The following is a 26,278-nucleotide window of genomic DNA, read 5'->3' as shown; positions in this document are numbered from 1 at the left end:
GTCATTTTATCACTTTGTGATTACTTCAGCATGTGAAGAAAGAGAATTTTATTTAAATAATAAACTATTATTTGGCTGGGTTTCAAATTTTAGCAAGAAAACCCACACTAGTGGTATAACTGGAGCTTATTTTTATGGATTATTGTTTTTTCAACAGAAAAATCTAAAGCCAATTATGATACACAATTCTTCCCTCCACAGTAGGTTTCACTGAGCTTGGGGATCTAACTTTCTTACAAATGCCAGCCTTGCCTCTAGGATGGTGACACAGCCGTGTTTCCGTAGGCCTGGCTGACTGCTGGGCAGATGGCCTGCAGTCCAGGGCAGAGTGTGGCTGGCTGCTCCGTGACTGCTGCCACTGCTCATGACAAGTGTGTCCAGGAGGAGCCTGGAAGAGACGCAGGAAGGAAAGGGCTGGTCTTCCACAGAAGTCGCCAGCAAATCTGCCCTGAGGGTGTGTCTGGAGTTCGGGAACTTTTGAAGAAGGAAGGCTAAAACTGGAGTACTCTGCTGGGCACCCCTCCTTACTCAGAGGTGGAAATTAAACTGCCTGGTCAGAGCCTAGCCATTACAGAAAACTCAGGCTATCTATCTCAAATATATGTGATTTTTGTCTTATATAGATACAACGTATATGTTACATGTAAAATTATAACATATATACGACATGTGAAGTCAGGATATAGCACTACCTGTTGAGTTTCTACTTCCTTAAAATGTTTAGACCTGAGCTGGCCGGGCGCGGTGGCTCACGCCTGTAATCCCAGCACTTTGGGAGGCCGAGGCGGGTGGATCACGAGGTCAGGAGATCGAGACCATCCTGGCTAACATGGTGAAACCCCGTCTCTACTAAAAATACAAAAAATTAGCCGGGCACGGTGGCAGCCACCTGTAGTCCCAGCTATTCGGGAGGCTGAGGCAGGAGAATGGCGTGAACCCGGGAAGCGGAGCTTGCAGTGAGCCGAGATCATGCCACTGCACTCCAGCCTGGGCGACAGAGCGAGACTCTGTCTCAAAAAAAAAAAAAAAATGTTTAGACCTGAGCCACACTATCCTGTTGTCTTTTAAAATATTTATTTATTTATTTATTTTTAGAAACAGGGTCTTGCTGTGTTGCCCAGGCTGGTCTTGGATTCCTGGACTCAAGCAATCCTCCCACCTAGGCCTCTCAGGTAGCTGAGACTACAGGCACACGCCACCACGCCCAGCACGCCATCCCTTTAAACTCTGCCTTGGCTCCAGCCTGAAAATAAAGTCAGTTGCTTTCAATTGCCCACTCATCCCAACATGGCTAAAACTAAGTCCTCCTGCCTCCTCTCCAGCCACCTCTCACAACATCCCCATCAGCCAATGCCTGGCTTCCTTAGGGTCCTCCCAGGAACCTTGAAGTTCTCCTGGGCTTTTCCCTCTCCCTCACCTCAACCCCAAACTTAATTATCTCTACATCCCTTCCCTGAACTGCTAACCAGAGCCACCCTGCACCCTCCTCTTCCCCTCATGGTACCAGTCCTATTCTATTGCCTCTCAATAGATTTGCTTGTTTCTTCATGAATTCATTTAATAGTTTATTCATTTCCCTCCAGTCTCATTCCCTTGCAACCCACTATTGGCCAGTCTAACCATCCTAAAGCCACCCCTTTCTGTACTGACAGAATGAAACACACGTGAGTATCTCGCAAGTGTCCAGGCCTCAACCTTACCTGTGCAAACTCAGCCTCCCTGTTCCCAACACCTCCACCCCTCACTGGCCTCTCCCACTGTTGACTGGTTTTATTACCTTCTCCGCCTTTCCAGAATGCCTTCTCTTCTCTGCTGATATAAACTGTTACTACCTTCAAAGCCATTTCCCAATACAGTAACTAATGATTCCTTTTAGCACTCATAACTGTATCTTGCCTTTAATCGCCTTAGAAATGTTTCCTAATATTTCATGGAAGCCTGGCCTTCTCTAATAGAGTGCAAGGTCTTCTAGAGTAATAATTGTATCTCCTATGTTACTATTTTCAATCGAATTAGCATGGCATTGCTGAATGAAAGAATACGTTTCCTGGATCATGCACCATGCTACGAGCTGTTTCCTTCGACTGCTCAGCCAGGTCACTGTTGGACTAAGCTGGTAGGGTTTTAAGTAAAGCAGGGATATTGATGAGCGTGCATGTGCGTGTGTACATCTGACTAAAAACATTCCAGTGTCAAATTAAGATTATTTTGGAATTATTTACAATGCAGAAACTGGAATGTCTAGCAAGAGGATAATAGTTTGCGGCTATTAGCTACAACAGTTATGAAGGCTCTATAGAAACATGGAAAGATAAAAGCCGTCTGTATGGAAAAGGCTCGAATGAAATACACCACAGTGATCACAGTGGCTCTGCTGAGATGATGGAATTATGACTCATCCTCCAGACCTTCCCTTCTTTTAATCTTTCTAAAATGTTATATTTAATGACTATGAGTGTATTAAAAGTAATAAAACAGGAAAAAGAGTAAGGAGAAGAGTCAATGGCTGGCAGTTAAGTGCTGAGATACAACTGACCTTAGGCAAGATAGTAGTGATACTGATTAGAGGAGGTTCCTAGAGATTACTCTAATTGGCCACTTTTCCTTTAGGCCTTATTTGCTTCTCTGATTTGCCGCTTCCCCTGCCCCATGCTTCTCTAACTATCCCAGTCTGGTCTTTTTGTTTTTTTTCCTTTCAACTTTTCTAGTATGCCTTCAATAAAATGTACCTGTCTTATTTTCTCTTGCTAGGACCATCAATTATTCCTAAATAATGACATGGTAAATGTGAATGAGTTAATATGCAGCCTCCTTTGGTGAACATACAGCTAGAGATAATGACACAAAGGAATAATTTGAGTCCTTCCTTGGTTTGCTCAACCTCCACAGATCTCTACTTTCATCCATCCATTCATTCATTCATTCATTCACTCACTCAGCTTTGTCCTTGTCAGTGATTTTGATGATGACCCAGAAGGCACGTTTACCGTATTTGTGGATCATTTGAAGCGGGAGCTATAGAAAGTCCACAGGATGGCAGAATCAGAGACCAGAAAGACTTCGACATGCTGGAAAGACAGACTAAAACAAACAAAAGGCTTAAACAACACGCTCAGGGCCTGCAGCCTGAGTCAACCCAAGCGGCGGCTGCACAAGGGCAGCCAGATAGCAGCTCTCATGAGAAAGCCTTGGGGCTTTAACCAAGAATAAGTTCTGGAAGAGTCCAAGGTATGAAGGCGCTGACAGAAAAGGCTCCTTTGATCTTAGGTCCCAGGAACAGAAGCAAGTTCTCTCCGTAGTAGCCCCTGGGAGTAGCAGGAGGAGAATTCCAAGTAAAGCCAATGGCGATCTTATAAACACCAGCAGCGCCCACCCATGCCCGGGAGAAGGTAGTCAGGAGCAGACGGGAGCATGAGTAGCAGGAACAGGAGGAGCCAGGGAGCCCAGGCCGGCGGCCCCAGAGGTGCCACCAGGGCAGTGCTGCCCTGCTCTCGGTGGCACTGGCCTTATCTCCAGGAGGGGGCTGTCCCCTTTGCTTCCTTCTCCACGCTGCTCTTCCCACCTGAACGATTTTCCTTCCTCGCTCCCACTGGGCCTTCCCACAGGCTTTTCTCTCTGCCTGAAAGAAAAACTACCTCTAGGAGTAGGGAAATGATAATTGTGCTGCATTTTCAATCCTAAGCGTGTCACCTGCAGGGACACTGATATGCTGGATGGAATTTCTGGAGCGTGTCAGCTGAAGAGTGACCAAAGGGATGTGGATGTTGAGGCTGGAGACAAGATGCCCATGGCACAGGAGGTGTTTTTAAGTGTTCAATAAATTTTCATGTGGAGATATTGGAGCATTGAATAGGAATTCCACGAATTGACTCGGTAGATGGGTTGAATGGCTTTTAAACCCAGTACAAGATGTTTAAGTTCTTTGAAAATGGGGGCATTTCAGCCACAGTGGTAGCTTCCCATAGCAAGACTTTTGAGCCAATGGGGTCATCAGCATCTGATAAGTAAACTCATACATGTGCCTGCCTGGTGAACTCCGCAGAACTTCTTAGCAGAGATTTGGGAGCGTGTGCTTTTTAGACCAAGGAGCCTGAACTGTCCAGAGGATATGTACTGTGAAGCTTTTTAAAATATAACACAGAAGGGTTTTATGAGATCATTTGGTTCTTGTATTCAACCATACATATTTGCATTATGCAGAGTATGCCCATAGAGTGTATTTTTCCTTTTGTATCAAGCTACCTAACCCAAGTGGAAAAGAAATTCCTGACTGATCCTCAGTGACTGTGGCTGATCAGCTCCATGCTTGGTCTTTGGAGGAAGGTGAGAGCCTGGGCTCCCTCCTGTCTCTCACACTGGTGCTCCAACACTCTTATTCAGTCTCGAATATTAAAGCTGATGGATTTAGCAACAGTGTGCTTCTGAATAGGGGTGAGAAAGAAACCTCAAGAGAATGTTTGTAGCTGATAACAAGAGAGAGTGTCTGGTTTTGCTAACCAAACAGGAGATGAAATGTTCTTTTGTATGTGAGCAGGAAGCAAGCAGATTGCCTACTTCAATAGCTTTTTATACCCACCAGGCGTGTTGAATTCCATCTTCTCCATCAGTATTATCTATAAAACCTCTTTCATTAGTGATTTAGTTAGGAGAGTGCTATAGCCCATTCTCATTCAAAGGTATTATCTCTTTTGGGGAGAGGATTGGGAGCTATACATTTATTCCCCATATCTAAGCTAAAATTTGTAGCATTTTTGAGTTCTTTGTGAGAACGCTAATGCAACTAACAAAGAAGTCATAGTCAATAAATTGCTGACTCTAATTAAAAGCAACTTTTCAAAAGAGTAGTTGGGAAATGTGGAAGCCCACCCTTACTGCAGCATAGTTTTAATATAAATCTTAGATTCGACTGTGACTCTACTAACCTTAAATAATTGAGCAACATGTTAATATCATTGATTAGCATCTTAGATTATAAAGATTGTTTCAGCTGTCCATCAAATACCTGTTCTGGCTTTACAGACACAATGTAGATTCATTGCTGGCAGCAGGTTTGGAAAGTGTTGTCTCTTTATGAGTTAAAAATATCAAAATGGCATTTGAAAAAATGTATTAGCAAATTAAACCTTTGTACATGGTACTATGGACCACTTTCCCCCAGAGTCAAATGTGTGTCTCTCCTGAGAAGCCCTCCTTGGGTTTTCCCTGCCAATAAATGTGCCTTTACTTCTCTGAGCTGATGGAGGACTAAACACCCCTCCAGCACTGGAATGCCGGTCCTGCAGCCACTTCAAGTGTCCACCTTCTTATCACAGTCCAAGCCCTTTAGAAGGCAAAGATGATGGCTCTCCATCAGTGTTTTCAGCCCTAACCCAATGCCTGGCCCCTGTTGAATGCTGCAGAAGGACAATGCTGACAGCTTCTCCTTGAAAGAGGGTGTGGGAGTGACAAGCAGCTCTCAGGTGAGACCAACAGACACTGTGGCTCCGCACGTATGTCCCAGGCTGTGTTCTGGGCTGGGGGACCAGCAAGGAGAAGGATCAGCTGTCCGCTTCCAGCTGTTCTGAGGGATGATGCTGTGGGTTTTAGAGGAGGCAGGGGTGCGGGAGGCAGAGAAAGGCGCCAGGAAGAGTGGTGAGGAGAACTGGAAAAACAGAAAGCGCTGGTGAAGCCAGCAGGCAAGCAATGACTCCGGCAGTCTTCCTTGCCTCTGAAGCAGAAGGGATCCAGGGACAGTTAGTGGCTCAGGTCCTGCGGCTCCAGGTGCCCAGACGTGCATTTCCTGTGTGGAGTGGCCGGGGCCTCTCCTTGGTGTGCAGCCCAGAAATGTGGCAACTTTGGGTTACCCAACCTTCCTAGGCGGGGAGGTAGTCCAGTCCTTCAGGAAGAGTCTCTGGCTCCGTTCAAGAGCCATCACAGTCCCTTGTATTACATCCCTCTGACGGGTTCCAATAGGACTATTTTTCAAATCTGCGGTATTTACAGAGACAAGACTGGGCTGCTCCGTGCAGCCAGGACGACTTCAGCCTTTGAGGTAATGGAGACATAATTGAGGAACAACGTGGAATTAGTGTCATAGCAAATGATCTAGGGCCTCAAGTTAATTTCAGCCGGTTGTGGTCAGAGTCACTCATCTTGAGTAGCAAGCTGCCACCAGAAAGATTTCTTTTTCGAGCATTTAGGGAATAAAGTTCAAGTGCCCTGCGCTTCCAAGTTGCAGGAGCAGTTTCACGCCTCAGCTTTTTAAAGGTATCATAATGTTATTCCTTGTTTTGCTTCTAGGAAGCAGAAGACTGAGGAAATGACTTGGGCGGGTGCATCAATGCGGCCGAAAAAGACACGGACACGCTCCCCTGGGACCTGAGCTGGTTCGCAGTCTTCCCAAAGGTGCCAAGCAAGCGTCAGTTCCCCTCAGGCGCTCCAGGTTCAGTGCCTTGTGCCGAGGGTCTCCGGTGCCTTCCTAGACTTCTCGGGACAGTCTGAAGGGGTCAGGAGCGGCGGGACAGCGCGGGAAGAGCAGGCAAGGGGAGACAGCCGGACTGCGCCTCAGTCCTCCGTGCCAAGAACACCGTCGCGGAGGCGCGGCCAGCTTCCCTTGGATCGGACTTTCCGCCCCTAGGGCCAGGCGGCGGAGCTTCAGCCTTGTCCCTTCCCCAGTTTCGGGCGGCCCCCAGAGCTGAGTAAGCCGGGTGGAGGGAGTCTGCAAGGATTTCCTGAGCGCGATGGGCAGGAGGAGGGGCAAGGGCAAGAGGGCGCGGAGCAAAGACCCTGAACCTGCCGGGGCCGCGCTCCCGGGCCCGCGTCGCCAGCACCTCCCCACGCGCGCTCGGCCCCGGGCCACCCGCCCTCGTCGGCCCCCGCCCCTCTCCGTAGCCGCAGGGAAGCGAGCCTGGGAGGAAGAAGAGGGTAGGTGGGGAGGCGGATGAGGGGTGGGGGACCCCTTGACGTCACCAGAAGGAGGTGCCGGGGTAGGAAGTGGGCTGGGGAAAGGTTATAAATCGCCCCCGCCCTCGGCTGCTCTTCATCGAGGTCCGCGGGAGGCTCGGAGCGCGCCAGGCGGACACTCCTCTCGGCTCCTCCCCGGCAGCGGCGGCGGCTCGGAGCGGGCTCCGGGGCTCGGGTGCAGCGGCCAGCGGGCGCCTGGCGGCGAGGATTACCCGGGGAAGTGGTTGTCTCCTGGCTGGAGCCGCGAGACGGGCGCTCAGGGCGCGGGGCCGGCGGCGGCGAACGAGAGGACGGACTCTGGCGGCCGGGTCGTTGGCCGCGGGGAGCGCGGGCACCGGGCGAGCAGGCCGCGTCGCGCTCACCATGGTCAGCTACTGGGACACCGGGGTCCTGCTGTGCGCGCTGCTCAGCTGTCTGCTTCTCACAGGTGAGGCGCGGCTGGGGGCCGGGGCCTGAGGCGGGCTGCGATGGGGCGGCCGGAGGGCAGAGCCTCCGAGGCCAGGGCGGGGTGCACGCGGGGAGACGAGGCTGTAGCCCGGAGAAGCTGGCTACGGCGAGAACCTGGGACACTAGTTGCAGCGGGCACGCTTGGGGCCGCTGCGCCCTTTCTCCGAGGGAGCGCCTCGAGGAGTGGCTGGCCTGGACCCGCGAGCATCAGCGCTCAGACCGGGTCCGCGCTGGGGCTGTCCGTTTGCGACAGGATCGCTGATCCCTTATCCAGCTGTCGGGTTGGGGTCTCACTGCCGAGGCCCTGGGCACTAGGAGCAGCACGCACCGGGACCTGCCTGGCACCCAGAGCCCATTCCCAGAGGACCTGGGGCAGGTACGCAGGGTCCCCCGGAGCCGGGAGCAGAGGCTCCTGAAAGCCTGCCAGGCTGCCCGGGGCTGGGCTGAGGCCGGGACTTTGGTGATATTGGGCACTGGCCGCGACCTCGCGTCACGAGAGTGTAGGAGGGGAGCCGATTTGGAGGGGACTCGTGCCTGCGGGGGAGCAGGAGGATCTCAGGAGAGGGCCAGCGCCGGCATCCCATGACCCGCTTGAGTCCCCAAGCCGGACTGTCCCGGGGAACGCTCGGCGAGCGCCCGCTCCTCCCCGCCGCTCTCGGACCGCGGGGCCCCAGTGCGCTGCGCTCAGCCACCCGGGTGGGGCCTCTGCCGGGAGCAGGCGTGGTGCGCGGTCCAGTCCGTGTCGCGGACATCAGTGACCCTGACCCACAAGGGCAGCCCAGGGCCCAAATACCGTTAACTTACTGACTTACAAGCCTAGCCTTTAAAATCCGAGCGAAGAGAGGGCGGGCGATTTTGACCAAACGATGTGGTTTGAGGAATCGATGAGGTCCGCCCGCCACCTAAGTCAGCCTTCGCTGGGCGTTTGGGAGACGGGCGGTGGAACAGTCAGGGGCCGGGGGTTTTACCAGCAGTTAGACCGCCGCCATTGAGGGGTCAAAGCCCCGAGGAACTTGAGGGTTCGGACTCGCAGTCTCTGCTCAGTGGGGCTGAGTGGCGGAGATTTGTGCCTCGTTCCCCTGGGCGCAGAGAGCCAGATTTCGGAGCGCCTTTCTTTTAAGCATCGTGGAGAAAAGGTAAAATATGAAATAAAATATAGTAATATAAAATAAGTCATTGCAATGATTCCCGGGAAGAAAAGTCAATAGGATGGAGCGTAGTACAACAACAACAACAACAAAAAGCTTGTTAAACCCAAAAAGCAGTAATAATTAAATATTCTTTCTCAGTGGGAAGACTAACTAGACCGTCAGTTTCCAAGTAACAAGTAATAGTTCCAATTAGATTGGAGAAACTACTAAACCCGGAGACAGGGCGAAGTGGTAACTTCTGAGAACTCACTGTAGGTTGGGAAAGGTGCTAACATAACTATATTAAATAAAATGTTGTATTTTCTATTTCACAAATACATTTTTTGTTTTGAAAAGTCACTTGTATTAAAATATAATTGCTTAGAGAATTTAAATACCTCACTCGACTATTATGTAAAGATAAATCTAGCTAAATTACATGAATCTAAAATTACGGAGGGAAAAGTACGTGATTTATTAGATTTTCTGCTTCACATAATTATATCTTTATTTTGAAAACATGCTGACTTTAGTGAAGCATCGTTTTCTTTGTAATTGGAAGCATCTTAGATCAGTGGAAACTTTACAGAAATGTGAGTGGGATCCTCTTGTGATTTTTCTTAGATTATAATTTACTTAAATGGGGCAGCAGTTTTGCAACTCTGAATTTCTTTTTTTTTTTTATTTGCACTTTTTTGGGAAGAAAGGACTAACATTGGCAAGCTGAGAACCTCTTTACCTAACAGTTAACAGAACACTCTGTTAGTTCATGTTAGCTCAGTCGGCATCATGGGTGCTTTTGAAAACTCATAGTTTCTCTGTCTGGTTAACAAGCATCTCACAGTAAAACAATCAGCTACCGCCTACTTTACAAACCGCATCAGGGCTTTCATGCTCAACTGAGAGGCTGCATATCCGGGAAGCAATGTCTAGTAAGAAGCCACGGTTCCCCACTGCAGAGTTCTCTTGCGTCATTATGAACCTGGGTCTGCCTTCCTTCAGGTACTATGTAATCTTTGAATACTTATCAGCTATTAATATTCTGTGTGTGTGCATGCCTGGTGTGCACATGCATTGAGAGGTAAAATAACCAGAGGCTCAGTATTACAAAAAGATAATGCCTTTCCCCTCTAAAGCGCTTATTTACCTCTTCCAGACATTCTGGGAAATAAAAAGATGCCAATAATTCAGATACTTTCAAGTCCTCTCTATTGCTCTTTCTCTATAAAGGATACCAGTCCTCTTTCTCCAGCTCTGAGTCTCATTTCTTACTTTTAAGGTATCACAACCTGGATGAAAGCTACAGACCTTTTTCTTTGCCCTCATTTTTCTTGAGTTCTTGAACAGCTAACATTTACAATTTACTATAACTAAGTGGAAATACTGAAATTGTGAATTTTGTGAAGGAAGTCCATATTAATAATATTAAATCAAAGTGCACATGAAAATACCTATTTCAAATTGAATGTAATAAATCTCTTATAATAAAGTTAATTTTTTGTAACAATTTTTGTTGTTTTCTCCAAGGTTTTATGAAGCTGCACTTTTTTTTGGTCTAAATTGCATATTCGAAATATTAATTATTTAGGAGCTTTGGCAGCCTACAGTTTTCCAACTGAAGCATCATGTTACAAAGGAACTGTAGGTGACTACTTACTCCAGTTCCTCAAATATTGTTGCTTACTATTTTAGCACTTTGTTACATTTTTAAAATTTCCCTGTTGGACATTCTATAATAGGCTATCTGGTTTCTTTTCTAACGATCACCAAGTGGGTACTTTGTTTTCGTATGTAAAATGAAGACGTTAGTATAGGTGGTTGATTTCTAAGGCCCTTTTCTGACTCCAAAATTCAATGAATGATTCCAAGAAATGGCCTGAACACCGTGTCTGTCTTTCTCTTTTCTCTTCCCCACCTTATTTATATTTGTATATAGAGTGGATGAGAAACCATATGATGCTGGGGCTGTTAGGATGAACTGGGTTTCCCCTGCTAATCACATTAAACTTTCTTTTTCTTTAGTAGCATGTACCTAAACAGCCAGTCAATTTGGCCTTGAATAGGCTGTTTTGGAAGAGATGGGCTGGTAGAGGATGCCTGAGCCAGCAGTCATCTTTATCTTGGGCTTTTTTCACTAGCAGAATGTATAACTCTATAAAGTAGATGCTCCCTCAAAACTCTAGTTGCATTAACTCTTCTAAGGATAGCAGTCATTTTAAACCCCTATTTATTTCTTGAATTTTTAAAGCTAACACTTATTTGATTAACAGAATGGCTTTATTCTTTTAAAAAAAGTTCCAGATTTTAACAGGGATACTAAACCCCTTATTTAAAATTGAGTCTACTTTACGTGACTTTTAAGAAACAAACCAAGTAATTACTTTGTTCTTTCCAAAAATGATCGAGACATTTCTAAGTCTACTTTAAATTTATTTAATATGGAAGTTGAAGGTGATGTGTTACCAAAAAATGGTTTCATATTGACCAAAATAATGTAATGTCCTCGAGGAAGGTTATGCAGCCTATTGAGATCTACACAGCAGAGTTATGGCTGATATTTGACCTGGCTTGGGCAGTTGGGCAAGACAAGAACAAATAACAGAGTAAGTAGCTTCTGTAGTGCTTTAAACTGATATGTGTATGTGGGTGGGGATAAGAATGGAGAAAAAGTGAGAGAAGCTATCTTGGCACGTGAATGTTAAATGCGAAGCCTGCTGGTGTTAGTAGAGGCCAGGCGTGTCTAATTCTTGGTTTGGATCTCACAGTTAGGGGTGTGTTGGGTATCAAGTAAATATCATCATTTTTCAGTGCATTTGTCATTGCAGGTAGGGGAGGAAGGGCATTTGAAATCATACCAGACTTTTTTTTAAGTAAAAATATATTACTGTGAGTAGTTAAAAGTATAGACCATCTGTGGCATTTGGTTTAAGCAATTTGGTAGAACCGAACAGTCCATTCTGCTCCATTGGCCTTCGTTTATAGGAGAGGCTTGTAAGAAATGACAAGATCTCCTGCCAGATGCTTTCCAGGATCACTGGTGGTTCCTCACACTCTTGGGTGCTGTGGAAATTGCATGCTGCTGATTAAATTGCTGGATTTTATACCAGATTGAGGGAGGGGAAGGAAATTGGAGGAATGGGGTATTTGAGGGAGGGCTTGAAAAGAAAGCCTCTGACTTAGCTCACGGGGCTGCAGGGGGGTTCATTAAGGAAACAGTTGCATTGAGTCTGCTGAAGATAGTGGACTAGATTTCCTGCATTGCCGCTGGGGCGGATGTGGGGAGATGTCAAGAATTCCTGGGGATTTCCCATCCATCTTGGTAAAGCTGGATGCCTGAAAGCTGTTTCTGATTGCTGCTCCTTTCCTCAATTTTGAGCTCTTTGAGGAACTTGATCTTGTCTCACAGATACACACACACGTTGTAAGAGCTAGATGGAACCTCATTGACCCAATCTACTCATGCCAGAGATGAGAAAACCGGCCCAGAGGAGGCCAGTGCTGTTTTTCAAGGTCAACAGCTGGCTAGCGGCAGGCCTAGGAACAGAACCTGATGTTCCTGCTACAGACAACATCTCTTCTTCACTGGTGTATTTCCTCTTCCCCAGACGGAAGACAGATGTTCAAATATTTATTGACTAACATTATTACAGTGCTAAAATTTCTTTCGAAATGACATCTTTTTAATATGAAGTTTTCTTCTATTTTCTTAACGCACATAAGGGGTTTAAACTAAGAATCAAAATGATGGCTGCTTAGTAGCATGCCAAGAGATTTGATGAGAAGATTAACTTTCCTTACGAGCACTTGGTATCCTTTTCCTGAACAGCTGTGGCTTACATACTTGTGGCTTATGGTACTAGCTTTGTCTTTCGCCACTTCTCTCCACACACACACTGGGTTCCAGCTACACAAACTCTACCCTAGTCAAACAAATTATTCCCCCTTCTTCAGAGGCGCCTTCACTTTCATCACTCTGTTCATGCTGCTCGTCTGCCTGCAAGACCTTTTCCCTCCCTCTGTGTCTCCTCCTCTCCTGCTGGCAAGATCCAGCCCAGTAATCACCATCTCTGGGAGCTCCTCCTTGTAGCTCCCAGACAGCACTTGCCATTTCTTCTGCTCTCCTGTAGCCCTGAGGTGTACTCCTCCTTCAGTAATTCTCACTTTGCATTGTCAGGATTTTATGTGTCTGTGTCCTTTCTCTTTGGTAGAGACCCCATGTCTTAGCTGTCCTTAGACCGCTGGCACCTAATATAAAGCCTAGTACAGAGACTCTCGGTAAGTGTTGGAACGAATGAGTAAATGAATGAATATGTGGCCACACTATCATTTCGCAGAAGCAATCTCAGACACAAATTTATTCCATGAGTTTATTCCAGTATAGTAATGTGCTCCTGCCTGTTCATTTGGCCTCATTTACAAGGGATTACTTAAAGTAACTGTTCTCAACAGATAATATTTGTCCTCTTCAGTGAGCGATTGAGATGTATGAGATCAGCTATGATTTTCAACTCTTTGAGAAACTGTCTCATGTCCTCCCCTCCTGTGTGGGCATGATGCTTCGCTGGGGCCTGTGAGCCACCAAAGCCAGGCTCTGGTCACTGCAGAAGTCCTGTGTTAGCCTCTGTTGGTGAGGTGCTAAGCACCTCAGCCTTTTCCTGCAGCGTGTTATACAATTTTTAGAGAGAACAGAGTCCTCAAATTTTAGGGTTTGACTTTCTTGCCCTCTCTTAAACCCAAGTCCTTGGGTGCTGGGCTGAGATGCATACCTGAATGACAGAGGTCTGGCCACAGTCAGAATCAACTCTGTTTTAATAGGGGCCTTGGTTACAGGACCACACTGGTCTGTCTAACTTCCTCTTTCTTTAGGATGAGGTTTCCTCAACCCTTCATATAAATGGGTTCCTGGCAGGACTACCCTGCTAGGTGCGAGACATGTTCTTAAAAATTGGAATCCCATGGCTTGGGCTCGAGCTGGTGCCTCCCTATCCTCACCCCCATCCCGGCCCACACTGCACATTCCCACATCATACTCCAAAACGTGCTTCTCTCTGTGTGCTCCGAGGTCCAGCAACATCAGCATCCCCTGGGAACTTGATGACTCAGAGCCTATACTTTAATAAAATCCCCACGTGGTTTTGTTTGTTTGTTTTTTCATTAAAAATCGAGAAGCATTGATTTTAGTAAAGGATCCAAAGTCAGTTCTGGTGTCAGGGTCCATTTCCTTTTTTTTGAGACGGAGTCTTGCTCTGCTGCCCAGGCTGGAGTGCGGTGGTGCAATCCTGGCTCACTGCCACCTCCACCTCCCAGGTTCAAATGATTCTTGTGCCTCAGCCTCCCAAGTAGCTGGGATTACAGGCATGTACCACCATGCTCAGCTAATTTTTTTGTGTTTTTTGTAGAGACAGGGTTTTGCCATATTGGCCAGGCTGGTCTTGAACTCATGGCCTCAAGTGATCCACCCGCCTCGATCTCCCAAAGTGCTGAGATTACAGGCGTAAGCCACCGCGCCTGGTCCCATTTCCTCTTCACTAACACCCTAGTGATGAACTTTGACGTGTGTGACTAAGGGACTAGACCTGGGCCAGCCAGGAACCTCTCTCTTCTGGCTCCCACGTTGGTCTCATGCCGCCTTCTGCTGGGACATCGGTGTCCTCCTCCAAAATTCTTTACAAAATCTTGTACTTGGCTTAGACTTGTAATCAAAGTAAACAGAGGTTGTGGTCTTGAAGAATACCATGGTTAACCAAATCATGGGTGGCGAGATCAAGGTCTTGGAAAATATGGATTTGGTGGAAAATAGTAAAAATGCAATTAAATAGCCAGGTTTTCACCATAAAGTTCTACAAGCCTTTTGCTTTTGAAAGAAAATGACTTGGTGGCAAAAACCAGCAGCGGTAAGTATCCTGCAGAATTTTTGGTTGTCAGGGAGGTGTCATTGTCTCGCTGCATTGTGCCGCTGCCGATCACACATTTCATGTGCCTCTTACTGTCTTGAAATGGAATGTATTTGCACTTAACATTCTTCCTTGTCATCATTGCCAGTCTTGACAAATGCTTTTACCTTTTCACAGATTATCACGGTGCTCACAGGCACTTTTTCTCAGCCTGGTCTTCTATCCTTCTATTTAATGGGTGGAGCACAAATGGATTTCCTCTCAAGCCACCGAACCACCCATGTGGACTACACAGGCAGAGCTACAACAATTATCAGATTCTTTTGTTAAAAGAGGCCTGAAGTGAACCTAGCATAAATGAAAAGCCTTGGCTGTTATTATACACAAATATAAAACCACTTAAACTCAAGGCCACCTGTAGCAAAACCCTAATTAGGAATTAGTCTGCCAAGTGATGTCTATGAAAGCCTTTGCCTCTCTCTAGGGCCGTGGTCCCCAGCCTGGGCTCTACATTAGAATAATCTGGAGAGCTTTTAAAAATCCTCGGGTCTTGGCTGTACCTCTGACCAATTTAATCATGAGCTCTTGAGAGGGACCTAGGCATAGGTAATTTTAAAGCTCCTGGGTGATTCCAATGGGCAGCTGAGGTTAAGAACCTCAAATTTCATCACACATTAGAATCACCTGGTGGGCTTGCAAAACTAGCTGGCTGGGCCCCACCCCAGAGTTTCTCATTCAGTAGGCCTGGGATAGGGCCAAGAATTTGCTTTTCTAACAAGTTCCCAGGGGATGCTGTTGTGCCTGGTCCAGAGATCACACTTTGAGAACCTCTGCCCAGGGGCCAGTTTGAGAGGCCTGGCCACATGGGAGGCACCTGCCCAAATGCCAATCTGTAAAAGGCACTAAATCATCACTAGACATACGACAAGGTGGAAGAAACTATTTACGAGAATTCCTGCCAGGAAGAGTATGTGCTAGTAGAGTGTGCAAGAAAGAATACTTAGATCAAATGCCAGGGCATTGAATCAATGAGTCTAGATTAAATTGCCTTCTGAGGAGAGGGGGACTGTTTTGCCGAGTGAGGTACGTACGTTAGGGGCAGAAGTGAATTGCCCGTCTAGACTAACAATGGTCCTCCTTCTCTGCCTTATGCTTCTGCCTTATGCTGTGGAGTGCTCAGTCTTTTCTCTATGTAAATATTGGCAAACACCATACTATTGGCCTGTCCCGGGCACCCACGTGCCTTGGTCCAGCCCTGGTTTCCTCCAGTATGACTGCAAAATTTCCTCTCCATCCGGGCCTCCGTATCTGCATTTCCGGTGCTGGGATCAGTATGGCTCCCACTTGGGTGGCTGAATTCTATCTGTTGGAGGCAGGGTGGCCTCCTAACTTTCATGATGTGCCAGGGTTCTGTCCCCACTGTTGTGAAAAGCTACTGCTGGTTGGAGACAGAGCTGGCCTCCCATCGTGTGAAACCACGGTCCTGGGAACACTTCTTGTGAAACACCAAGAATTCAAACTGCTTCCCCCTTCCTGGGGGCATCCAGGGTAACCCGTACAACATGTAATTCTTAATATTGCGTGAGCTCCACTTTGGTGCTTTTATTTTCAAATACAGAAAGAGCATACACTTGAACTACCACACAGTCACTGTTTCTACAAGGCTGAGGCACAATAGCCATTTGGATCTGCCATCTATTTCTACATAACGAGATGTGCCAAAACTTAGTCACCCAACACAACAATGCATTATGCTTCATGATTCTTCTAGACCTTTGGGCTAGGCTCAGCTGAGTAGTTTCCCTTCGGGTCTCACCTGGGTTTCTCATGCATCTATAGTCCTTGGCATTTCCACTGGGTCCTTGGTGCTGGGCCTCCCTCTTCATGAGATCTTTCCTCATTCAGTAGCCTGGCCGGGGCTTCCTTTCCCTGGGGGCAGCGGTGTTGCAAGAGTGTGATGGTGGAAGCTGCAAGGCATATTGAGGCTTAGGCTTTGGAACGCCTACAACACCGCTCTACCACATTCTATTGGTCAAAGCAAGCCCAGCTCAGATGCGAGGGGTGGGAAGCAGATGCCTCTCTGCGTGGAGAGGAGCACAGCCTCACAATGGACCACACCATTGTGTAACACTTCATGTTTGCTTTTCAGTCTAGCTATTAAGCTGGAGTTTGGCCAAGAAAATACAGTAAATAACTTATTATAGTAAATAACAATAAATGCTACATAATGTCTTGACCCTTCTAAACAGTATCTGGGAGTAAAAATAAATAAATAAATAAATAAAAAATAAAACAGGCCCCAGAGAAGAGCTTTCTATTCTTAATTCAAATTTTGTTTTGAGTACCTGACAGGCATGCTGGGCAGCAGCCTCTGATGACTAACATGACACCAGCAAGGGAGGACAGCTGACCCCAAGATTCTGAGTGCAGGCAGCTCTGCAGCTTCTTGGGGCTCTTATCATAGAGGCCCTGATTTAGCACCTTTTTCTGGAGGTGCCGAGACTGCAGGGACAGACATGCTTTGGGGAAGGGAGAAAGGAGGCAACCAAACCCTACTGACTATACAATCAATATATGTAATTGATTTACATATATTTTTTATTTCAATTATATATTTATTAGGCATTTAAATATTACAGACAAATATTTCTTTTTTTATACTTTAAGTTTTAGGGTACATGTGCACAACATGCAGGTTAGTTACATACGTATACATGTGCCATGTTGGTGTGCTGCACCCAGTAACTCGTCATTTAACATTAGGTATATCTCCTAATGCTATCCCTCCCCCCTCCCCCCACACCACAACAGGAGTTACATATATTATTTTACTCAGTCCCGAGAGGTACGGTCCTCTTAACCATGCAAAAACTGATGCTTAGGTAAATTAAATACTTTCCCTAAGATCACAGAAGTGGTAAGTAAACTTGGAATTATTTGAATCTGAGTCTATCAGACTTGCAAACCCGACATTTAGGGATCCTCCTACCATGCCTTCAAGCCTAAATGAAAAGAGGAGAAGGAAAAAGCATCAAGGGGACTGTGCTAGTCTTTCCCTCCTTCTGTCCTTGGAGTTTGGCCATCTCCAAAGAATGTGAGAAGCCACTGCTACTCCAGCTTAAAGTGGCCTTGGGAGATTCCACTGCTGTATGTGGCAGACACTGTTCACATCTCCAATAAGACAGAATTTTAATCATGTGAGTTTTCTTATCGTAGGCATTCAAGGACCTCCCAAAAAACTTAGTCAGAAAAGGAGCCCCAAAGCCATCAAGGACATGATTTTATGTGGGCTTCCAAACTGCTCTCCTAGATATGGCTTTAAACCAGTTCAGATGACAAACAACAGCATGAGGACAGCACTTTATTCTAGAAAAGCTCATATCAGGCAGGTCCGAGGAAAAAGCTGGGACTGCCCTCTCACAGATGGTTTCCAGGAATCCAACGTGGGCTCCTCTGCACCTTTCAGATTCCAGAAAGCTCACAGCTTTTCCAGAATGAAACTAAAATACCTCACAGAACGACCTGGAAGTGTGTTTGACCCTGAAGGCAGATGCTACATGAATTGGATAGGGGAGGACATTAACTGTCCCCCAGGGAAGGGAAAAAAATGTGAACATGTCAGCACAGGGCACTTTCTGTGTTAACTCCATCAAGTCTCTTCCTAGCCACCTACTGTGCACACCTGTAACTTTGTTTTATGGATTGAAGCCCCAAGGCTGAGGAAACCCTGCTGACTTGCTGAGGGCCATCCATTTATGGAACAGCCAAGCCAAGATTCAAACCTAGGTCTTTTTAATTTTGAAATCGGGGACTCTTTCCACCAACATTTACTCAAAGTATCTTGAATGATTAAATCTAGGAATTAAAGAAAAAAGGCAAGAGTTTTGTTTTCAGGGTTTGGAATAAAAAAACTGTCATATTTATGAGAAAAGACAACCATCCAAGAGCCTTTTTCTTAAACAAGTTACTGTCAGTCACTTTGATTTCCCTGTTTGATTGGCAGTCCTTGTACAGTGAGCAACACGGGGAGCATTTCTTTAAGCCCCGTAGCTCCTGTGTCTCTCCCTCCTTCTTAGATCATTCCTTTAACATAGACCTGCAAGAAGTCAAGAAGGAGAAAATAGCGTTTTCCTTCTTCTTTCTTGACCTGTTACTCGGAGAAGGACACTTTTTCAACCAGAATACTGTCATGTTACCAGAAGCTGAGAAAAATCCTATCCTGCCACCTATTGAGGAGTTTTATCTTTCACTCCAAAGAAAAAGCTGGAACGTTTGGTCAAATGGATACATGCTTTAGATGGAAATTATACGGAATGGTGTATATACTATGTAAAAATATGCATGGTGTCTATGTATGTAAAAATCCACTGTTGGATTTTTATGATTGTTTTCTTTCTCTAAGTTGGCATTAGAGAAACCAAAAATGTATGTAAACAGATGGGGAGGCAGGGATATGCTAGAGAGGATTACAAACAAACAGTTTTAAAAGGCAGTGTAAACTCTGGCAACAACACTGCATCTATGATTAATGGTATTGTTTTCTTTTTGGAAAACATTGTTTAACTCTCTTTTTCCACTTAATGTCTCCTGCTAGATCAGATTTTTGTTCACTGCTGTTCTTTGAAAATTTTTATGGCTTCAGAATCCTCTCCATAAGGACTTCTGGTAGAACTAGAGAAAAATATATGTGTGGAAATAGAGTAATTGCAGTGCCCTGGAATGGACTTTGAGTACCTGTAACTTCTTGAGGGTTAGGAAATATTTGACACACATTGTTGATGTACAAGCTAAAAGTGGTTCAGCCACTCAAGCTCCCATCCCATCCTCTGTCTTCAAAACTGGTCAATGAAAAATACCCTATCAAAGTATTCGCTACGCAAAGTCACTTAGAAGGCAAATGGGAAATTCAGGAAACTAACAGGAGTGAATTTTCAGGAATTTCTACTTCACTTTAGCCTTTTGAGACTGACATTAAACTTAGTGGTTCTATATCCAGATTATCTTTTCTTAGAGGGAGTAAAATCCTAAACTGTAGAAATAAAGTTTGCTTGGTTGTTGTTATTTCTTAAATGCGCTTTATAGTCCAAACCGATGGGCATGGAATTGCCTTGCTGGAGTAATTCATTCACCATTTTGGGATAATGTTAAATACAAACTTAGGAGGGGAGGTTTAAGAAATATTCCTCTTCCAATGATTTGGAGGGCTGTATTTTCTTTTCTTTTTTTTTCTTTTTCTTTCTTTATTATTATTTATTTATTTATTTATTTTGAGATGGAGTTTTACTTTTGTTGTCCAGGCTTTTTTTTGAGATGGAGTTTCACTTTTGTTGTCCAGGCTGGAGTGATCTCGGCTCACTGCAATCTCCACCTCCTGGGTTCAAGCAATTCTCCTGCCTCAGCCTCCTGAATAGCTGGGATTACAGGCATGCACCGCCACGCTGGGCTAATATTGTATTTTTAGTAGAGATGGGATTTCTTCATGTTGGTCAGGCTGGTCTCAAACTCCCACCCGCCTTGGCCTCCCAGAGTGTTGGGATTACAGGCGTGAGCCACCACACCCGGCGAGGTCTGTATTTTCTCCCACAACTGCATGAGGAAAAACATGAGCCATATTAAATTTAATTCTCCTGATCCCGATTTTATAGCCAGTCATTATTCTAGATTCATGCCCTATTTCCAAGCTGAGTTCAGGAATGTGTAGAAGATTTTTATTTTATAACATTTTAATACATTCATTTAAAAGATGCTCAAGGGATTATCATCAAGTAATCCATTATATTTTATTTTGAGGTATAGATATGGTTGTATTCATTGTGTTACATGTTTATCATTGAATAAGTGTTCTTATTTTGTGAATTTAACTGAGTTTTACTAAGATAAATCACTTATGTTGGTGAAGAATGTGTGACTTCCTATATTAAAGGATGTGTTCCTTAAAGACATAGTGTACATAGTTTGCAGGAGATCTCTATTTGTTGACTTAGATTATCTTCCATATTTCTTAGTATTCACCTATTCTACTTCTAAATGACAGCCCCTAAGAGGCCAGCTTAGAGCTGAAAGACCTTCAAGAGGAAGAAATGTTTCTGACCCATCTTTGCAATTGTGAATCCAGTACAGTGCCTGGCACATAATGGTCACTCAATAAATACTGGCTGAACTGACTGAAATCATATCCTGAGCCATTTCTCTGGGTCTGAGGCCCTTCTAGGAGTCATGGTTCCTCATTGGTTCACCTTCTAAGTACGTGTATGTGTGTGTGTGTGTGTGTGTGTGTGTGTGTGTGTGTGTGTATAAGCGGAGGAGGTTAGGAGAAATATGGCCAGGAGCTGGCAACAATTCTCCCAATACACAGGCAATATTCTGTTCCTTCCATTTGGGTTATCTTCTAGGTCCAGTGACCATTTTCTCATTTTTGGCTAAGCTGGCCATGTTCTCCTGACTCGACTGTAGACTCAGGATTGAGAATGAGGATCTACACTGCCCATCTTCTAGAGAATTGCTTCCCAGGAGATATTTTCCTTGAGATGAGCCTTCCTGCTGGGAGACTGTTAACTGGCTTAGGTTCCCAAACAGCACAGAAGATAGTTGATTGGAACCTTTAATTTCTAGGTACACCAACAGAGCCCGAGTCACTAGGTAATGTTACTATTGCTGCCATTGTTTTGTCACCTGGAATGAGAACATTTTGGTTGAAAATTATTTCCTCTTGGCTCTGGGTCATGTGTGGTACTGGCTAGGTGACCTGCCAAAAGGAAGGACACGTTAAGAACATGAAGTCCTGGCTAACGCATCACATCTGACAGTCCTCATTCATTCCCTCATTGCTGAGTCTCCACCCCGGTCGTCTTCCGTGGTGCTCTGTTTTAACAAGCACAACGTGACCTGGGTATGTATCTAAAGTATGATTACTTGTGGCTTTTTTCCTAGTGGCAGGTGAAGTCAGGTAGACCCCAGACAAAAAATATGCGAACCACAGCATTGAAAGAAGATGATAGAGCTTTCTCCTCCCAGCACAGAGGCTGAGGAAAACAAGAGTTCTAAGAAACAAGGAAATGTATGTGAAACTGTTAGAAGAAAACACTTGTTTAAAAGGAAAGATGAAGCTTAGAGGGTGGAAAGATGTGGAAGTCTTTGAAGGAGAAAGAGACCCTGCTATTTCTTTTAGCAAATACACATTGATTCTTCAGGTCTCACCTCCAACTTTATTCTAATAGAAGACTCTCACTCCCTGGGCTGAGTGAGGTACCTCCACACCTGGCACTTCCCCATGATAACACACAAATATAATGTAATTTTCTATTTCTTTAAGCAGAAATTATTTTTATGCATCATTACATATATATCTATATATACTTATTTATCTGTTGTCCATGCTAAGCTATAAACACTGTAAAGGAAGCAACCTCGTTTGTCTTGTTTATTGTTGTATCTCTATCGGTATACGTTCAAAAAATTAAATGAAAGAATAAATGTTGAGGTTAAAGATGGAAAAATAAACAAGGTAAGGGAGTGAGAGAAAGGGGTCATATAGAGAATGTAGTGAGGGGAAAAACCAGGATTGGTGGCAGTAAAAGAGAGATAAGAAGCATAGCTAAATGAGGATGGAGTTCCCAGACTCCTGGGATTGCACCTAAGAGTCCAACCCTTAACTCAGTTCATCAGTCTCATCCAAAGGAGGTGGTGGCTTAATTTCATGGGAGCAGCTTCGGCATTGGGCACCTTACTACCTCTCCACAGAGCTGTTCCTTTTGGTTTTATGTAACTTCTACTTTGGTTTTGGTTTTGTCCTACAGAATGAGCTGATTCATAAGTTATTTTAAAGCTGTTGGGTTGGTGGCCAACTGATAACAGAAATTGTTGTTTTTCTTCTATCAGAGATATAATGTCTTGGATGATATTTTTAAAAAAGCTAATTTCTAGAAATAAAGTTCTAGATAGAGTAATGAAGGTGTATGGGTATATATCCCCTGAGAATGAAAACCAGCATTCCCCAGGCATTGAATACAAACAACGCTAAAGTCTTCTATGGGTATTTGTAAGGAAGGCCTTAATATCACATGCCGAAATGAGTGAAAAACATTCGGTAAATTATTTCTTTTAAAAATTCAGATACTGCTGGTGAAAATGTACTACTTTTAATGGATTACTTTTCCTTCCAGAAATTTGACTCTCAGCAAAACTTGTATAACATGAATTCCATCTAAGATAAGATTTTTTTAAGTTTTTGAAATCTTAGGAAAGCACAGCTCTTACAAATACTTACTACGTGAAGGATATCTTAAGAAAATGTGAAATTAGAAAAACCCAGAATAAAAAATAACAGTTTAATCAACATGTCCACCCCATTTCCGAAGCATGATTAATCTCCAAAATATGTGTAATGAAAGGCAATTATATTTCAAATTGTTTAACTTAGAAGGAAACTGATTATGACAATAGAAAACACAATCATCAAGAATGTGTTTAATGAGTCTTAGAAATTTGCTAATGTAGCTTTCAAAAACTCAATTCCCCTATGATGGATAACTTTATTGCACACTCTTGGCCATTTAAATCTCAAAGGTCAGAGGGTTTGTATATATTATTGGTTGCAAAGATAGAGATCTTCTCAACTTTCCTGTTAGTGGGTGAATTTAAAGAATACCCTTTATGAACAGTCTAAAGGACTCCAGAAAGATGTTTTCTATATAATTTGGACTTCATAAACTGTATCAAAGTAAGCTGAAAATTAACATCAGAACTTTATCACATTCGGCCTTCCAATCTCATTTCATCTCTCCTCCATTTTTATATACAAAGCAAATGGTATTCTGTCATTATTTGTAATCGATTCTGAAGCTGAAAGTCTGCATGAGGAGAATAGATAAGGCTTTGTATTGCTATAATAACATTTTTGGCTTTTCTGGCATGAACAGCTACAGTGCTAAGGTGCACACTTGTCTGTCTGCCTGTTTGCCAGCCTTTCTTATTCATTTTATTATACAAAAATGTGAAGGCACTATTTGGGAATCAAAATAGAAACTGGAACAATATGCATTTTATGGTAGTTTAACAGCATCACATTACAGCTCCATGACATATTCATTTTTTTCCAGAAGGAACTGTGTGTGGATCTGAAGATTATGTCACATGACAGGTTATAAGACGTAGTTGAATAAAATTTAAAAGTTCCAATTCCCGCTTTTATACTTAAACTGTTACATGGCAAGCTCCTATACGGAATTGATCAAATATCTCCCAGATCTTTTCTGTGAGACTTTCCTTCTAAGGGAACCCACAGGGATCCACATAAATGACAAATCCATAACATTGAAACATGCTGTCATCATCTCTATAGATGCCTGGAACTTTGACACTGAACAGTAATGAAAGCAGAGTATTTGGTAAAATATCTGGACATAGACCAAACTGTAATCCTGATGCTATGTAAAACAGAAAACTTTCCATTTTAGATTGCGAGTCACATGCATTCCATGCTATGCTTCCAAACTGGTAATTGTTTATTTAAAGAGAACACGGAGGATGCCTTTGGCAGAACTGAAATTTGCAATCCTAAATAATTTAGAGATTAGAAATCTAAAGTTAAGGCAGTTCAAGCATGTTATTAGTACTACTAGTCTTAATAATACAACTCTATGCAAATGCTCTTGCAGCTAAAAGCATTTTGTCACTGATCAGACACTATGATTCTAAAGAGGATGCACAAATTGATAAAAAATTAACAAACTAATTTAAAAACTCAGTTACTTTCACTAAGCCACCTGTATATTTAGTCTCACATACATTGAGTGTGTTTATTGAAATGGCATCTCCACTGAGCAATCAGTTGTCATGTCTCTTCCAGGTGTTCACAATCTGAAAATGTGTATATTTCAGCCTGAAACAACTTCTGAGTAGCATAACACTACTGGCAATTATGATCCATTCTATAAGACGTGACGTCAGAGCTCAGTTTCCTCTCAGACCTCTAAACAGTGACATTGGATAAGAACATAAGCCCGTGGGGAGTATGCTTCAAATGTAAAAGTGTCCTGCCACTGATAGAGAAAACAGAGATGTGTCCAAGCCCTTCCTAACAGACAAAACGTTCCTGTATGCATTTTTAGGGTGTAAAGAGTGTTTTCTCTGTTCGTGTCCATTTGCATAACCAGACGAAGGTCTACCAGACTTCTCTACCGAGTATTTTACGAGTTATGTCTCGTGCCCTGTCAACCAGATCTTGACCTTTGCCCTAGGCAGCTCAGATAACTTTCATGACATCGTATGGTAAACTGAAATGACATATTGTTAGACAGCTCTATGGAGGTGGTTTTTGAACTCATTTAATAACAGACCAGCGGTGTAGGAGTAGAGCATTTTTTGGGAAAAGGTAACTCCTTGGTCAGCAGGAGATTTCTCCCAAACCAACCTTAATTAACTCTGATGTCACATGAAAAGGAGTTGTGCATGGCTATAGGTCATTGGAAGGGTAGGTCCCTGATGGTAGCCTGGTGACAGGCCTAATGATCAATGAATGTGCCCTGTTAAACTGTGACCCTCAAAGAAGGCAGTGTCAAGTAAAAAGCTCAGAGAGGCATGCGGAAGACATGTTTCCCTCATAAACATAGACAGTAGGAATGTTGACGTTATTAGAGCATTTTTTCCTGGTAAACATTTTAAACCACACAGATTTTTTTCCGTGTAAATAACTTTTCTGAAGCTTAAGGAAAAATGAGTAAAGTCAATGACCCATGTATGGATGGGATGAAAACTGTCCAAGTTTTGATGATTTTAGACTTTGGCCACTTCAGTGGCTAACACTGTGATGTCTTTTGTGCCAAGAGCTACAAAACCTATCTATGAGTTTCATTGACAGACAATTAAAATATGAATTGTAAGACAGCCTTAAAATGAACAAACCAGAGCAGAATTATTGAAATGAACATAATTGCGGAGAAGTGCCAATTCCAGTTGCTGGTGTTAAACATTTAGGTAATTTCTTGATTTATTTTTTGACACCTGGATTCAAGACATAAATGCTATATACGTGACTATTTTGAATTTTCTATTCAGACTTTGAGATCAGAGACTTCACATATTGAATCTAATAGTTTGAGGATTACTTAGAATGGCAAAACCTCTAAAGCAAGAAATCAGTGTGGTAAAATAGTGCGTTTAATATACTATAAAGATTTAAAGGAAAAAGCAGGTTCCTAGGATTAGAAACTTTCTACAAACTAAATATAATGTTGCTGGACAGCAGCTGCCTAAACATTCAGTCCTATTGTGGACCTTAAAGACCAATAACACAATTACTCTAAAATAAAATATTACATATTTGTAAAGTTGCCCATGTAAAAGTCACAAATAATCTTATCTGCATAAGGGATTAGTCAGCAGTGAGTCACAGCTTCATACTCTTGCCACATTCAAGTCAATTTCTAAATCCCCGCCTAGAAAGAGCTTTCCCTGAGCCTAAGCTGAATGAAAAATGTAATTAAAGCACACACCAAAAACCTCTTCTAGTTCTACATCAACCTCCCCACCACCACTCAAACAAACTTGACGTTCTCATGGAGAGAAAAGTGTATGCATGCGTGTCAGCAAGCGTGTGTGTGTGTGTGCATGTGTGTGTGTATTTATGTGCACATTCTTTCATTTCTTTACATTCTTTCTTGATTTAAGGCCAATTGTTTTGGAAGACAAACCTGACATTTTAAAAATTAGTATCATTGCTAACTGTGGGACTGAAAAAATATGCTTTCAGTTCATACGAATCCCCATGACTTTCACATCTTCTATTTAGTCTGTTGGTGGATGGAATATGAACTCTCTGGCCTTTCTCCATCATTCTGGAAGTGAGAGGAGATGGGACATTATAAT

At 43.8% G+C, this 26,278-nt stretch overlaps 1 protein-coding gene across 4 annotated transcripts in view, besides 3 other annotated features; it reads left to right on the top strand.

Moving 5' to 3' along the window:
• The window catches only part of FLT1 (fms related receptor tyrosine kinase 1), a 194,783-nt gene continuing 175,525 nt past the window's right edge, over positions 7,021–26,278 (top strand). For all 4 annotated transcript variants that reach the window (NM_002019.4, NM_001160030.2, NM_001159920.2 and 1 more), the window contains exon 1: positions 7,021–7,369. In NM_002019.4, coding sequence (NP_002010.2) covers positions 7,306–7,369 — 64 coding nt within the window. In that variant the 5' untranslated portion in view covers positions 7,021–7,305. The remainder of the gene's footprint in view (positions 7,370–26,278) is intronic.
• Positions 7,116–7,165: a silencer, noted in NCBI's record as "silent region_5214". NCBI's record gives its function as "represses an Ori minimal core promoter by ATAC-STARR-seq in GM12878 lymphoblastoid cells {active_cell/tissue: GM12878}" and the evidence as "EXISTENCE:reporter gene assay evidence [ECO:0000049][PMID:35858748]".
• Positions 7,286–7,405: a silencer, noted in NCBI's record as "silent region_5213". NCBI's record gives its function as "represses an Ori minimal core promoter by ATAC-STARR-seq in GM12878 lymphoblastoid cells {active_cell/tissue: GM12878}" and the evidence as "EXISTENCE:reporter gene assay evidence [ECO:0000049][PMID:35858748]".
• Positions 7,486–7,535: a silencer, noted in NCBI's record as "silent region_5212". NCBI's record gives its function as "represses an Ori minimal core promoter by ATAC-STARR-seq in GM12878 lymphoblastoid cells {active_cell/tissue: GM12878}" and the evidence as "EXISTENCE:reporter gene assay evidence [ECO:0000049][PMID:35858748]".

This window comes from Homo sapiens, chromosome 13 (genome assembly GCF_000001405.40).
Source record: "Homo sapiens chromosome 13, GRCh38.p14 Primary Assembly".
NCBI lineage: Eukaryota > Metazoa > Chordata > Mammalia > Primates > Hominidae > Homo > Homo sapiens.
The sequence above is the reverse complement of the archived record's forward strand: the minus strand, read 5'-3'. Positions and strand labels throughout refer to the sequence as shown.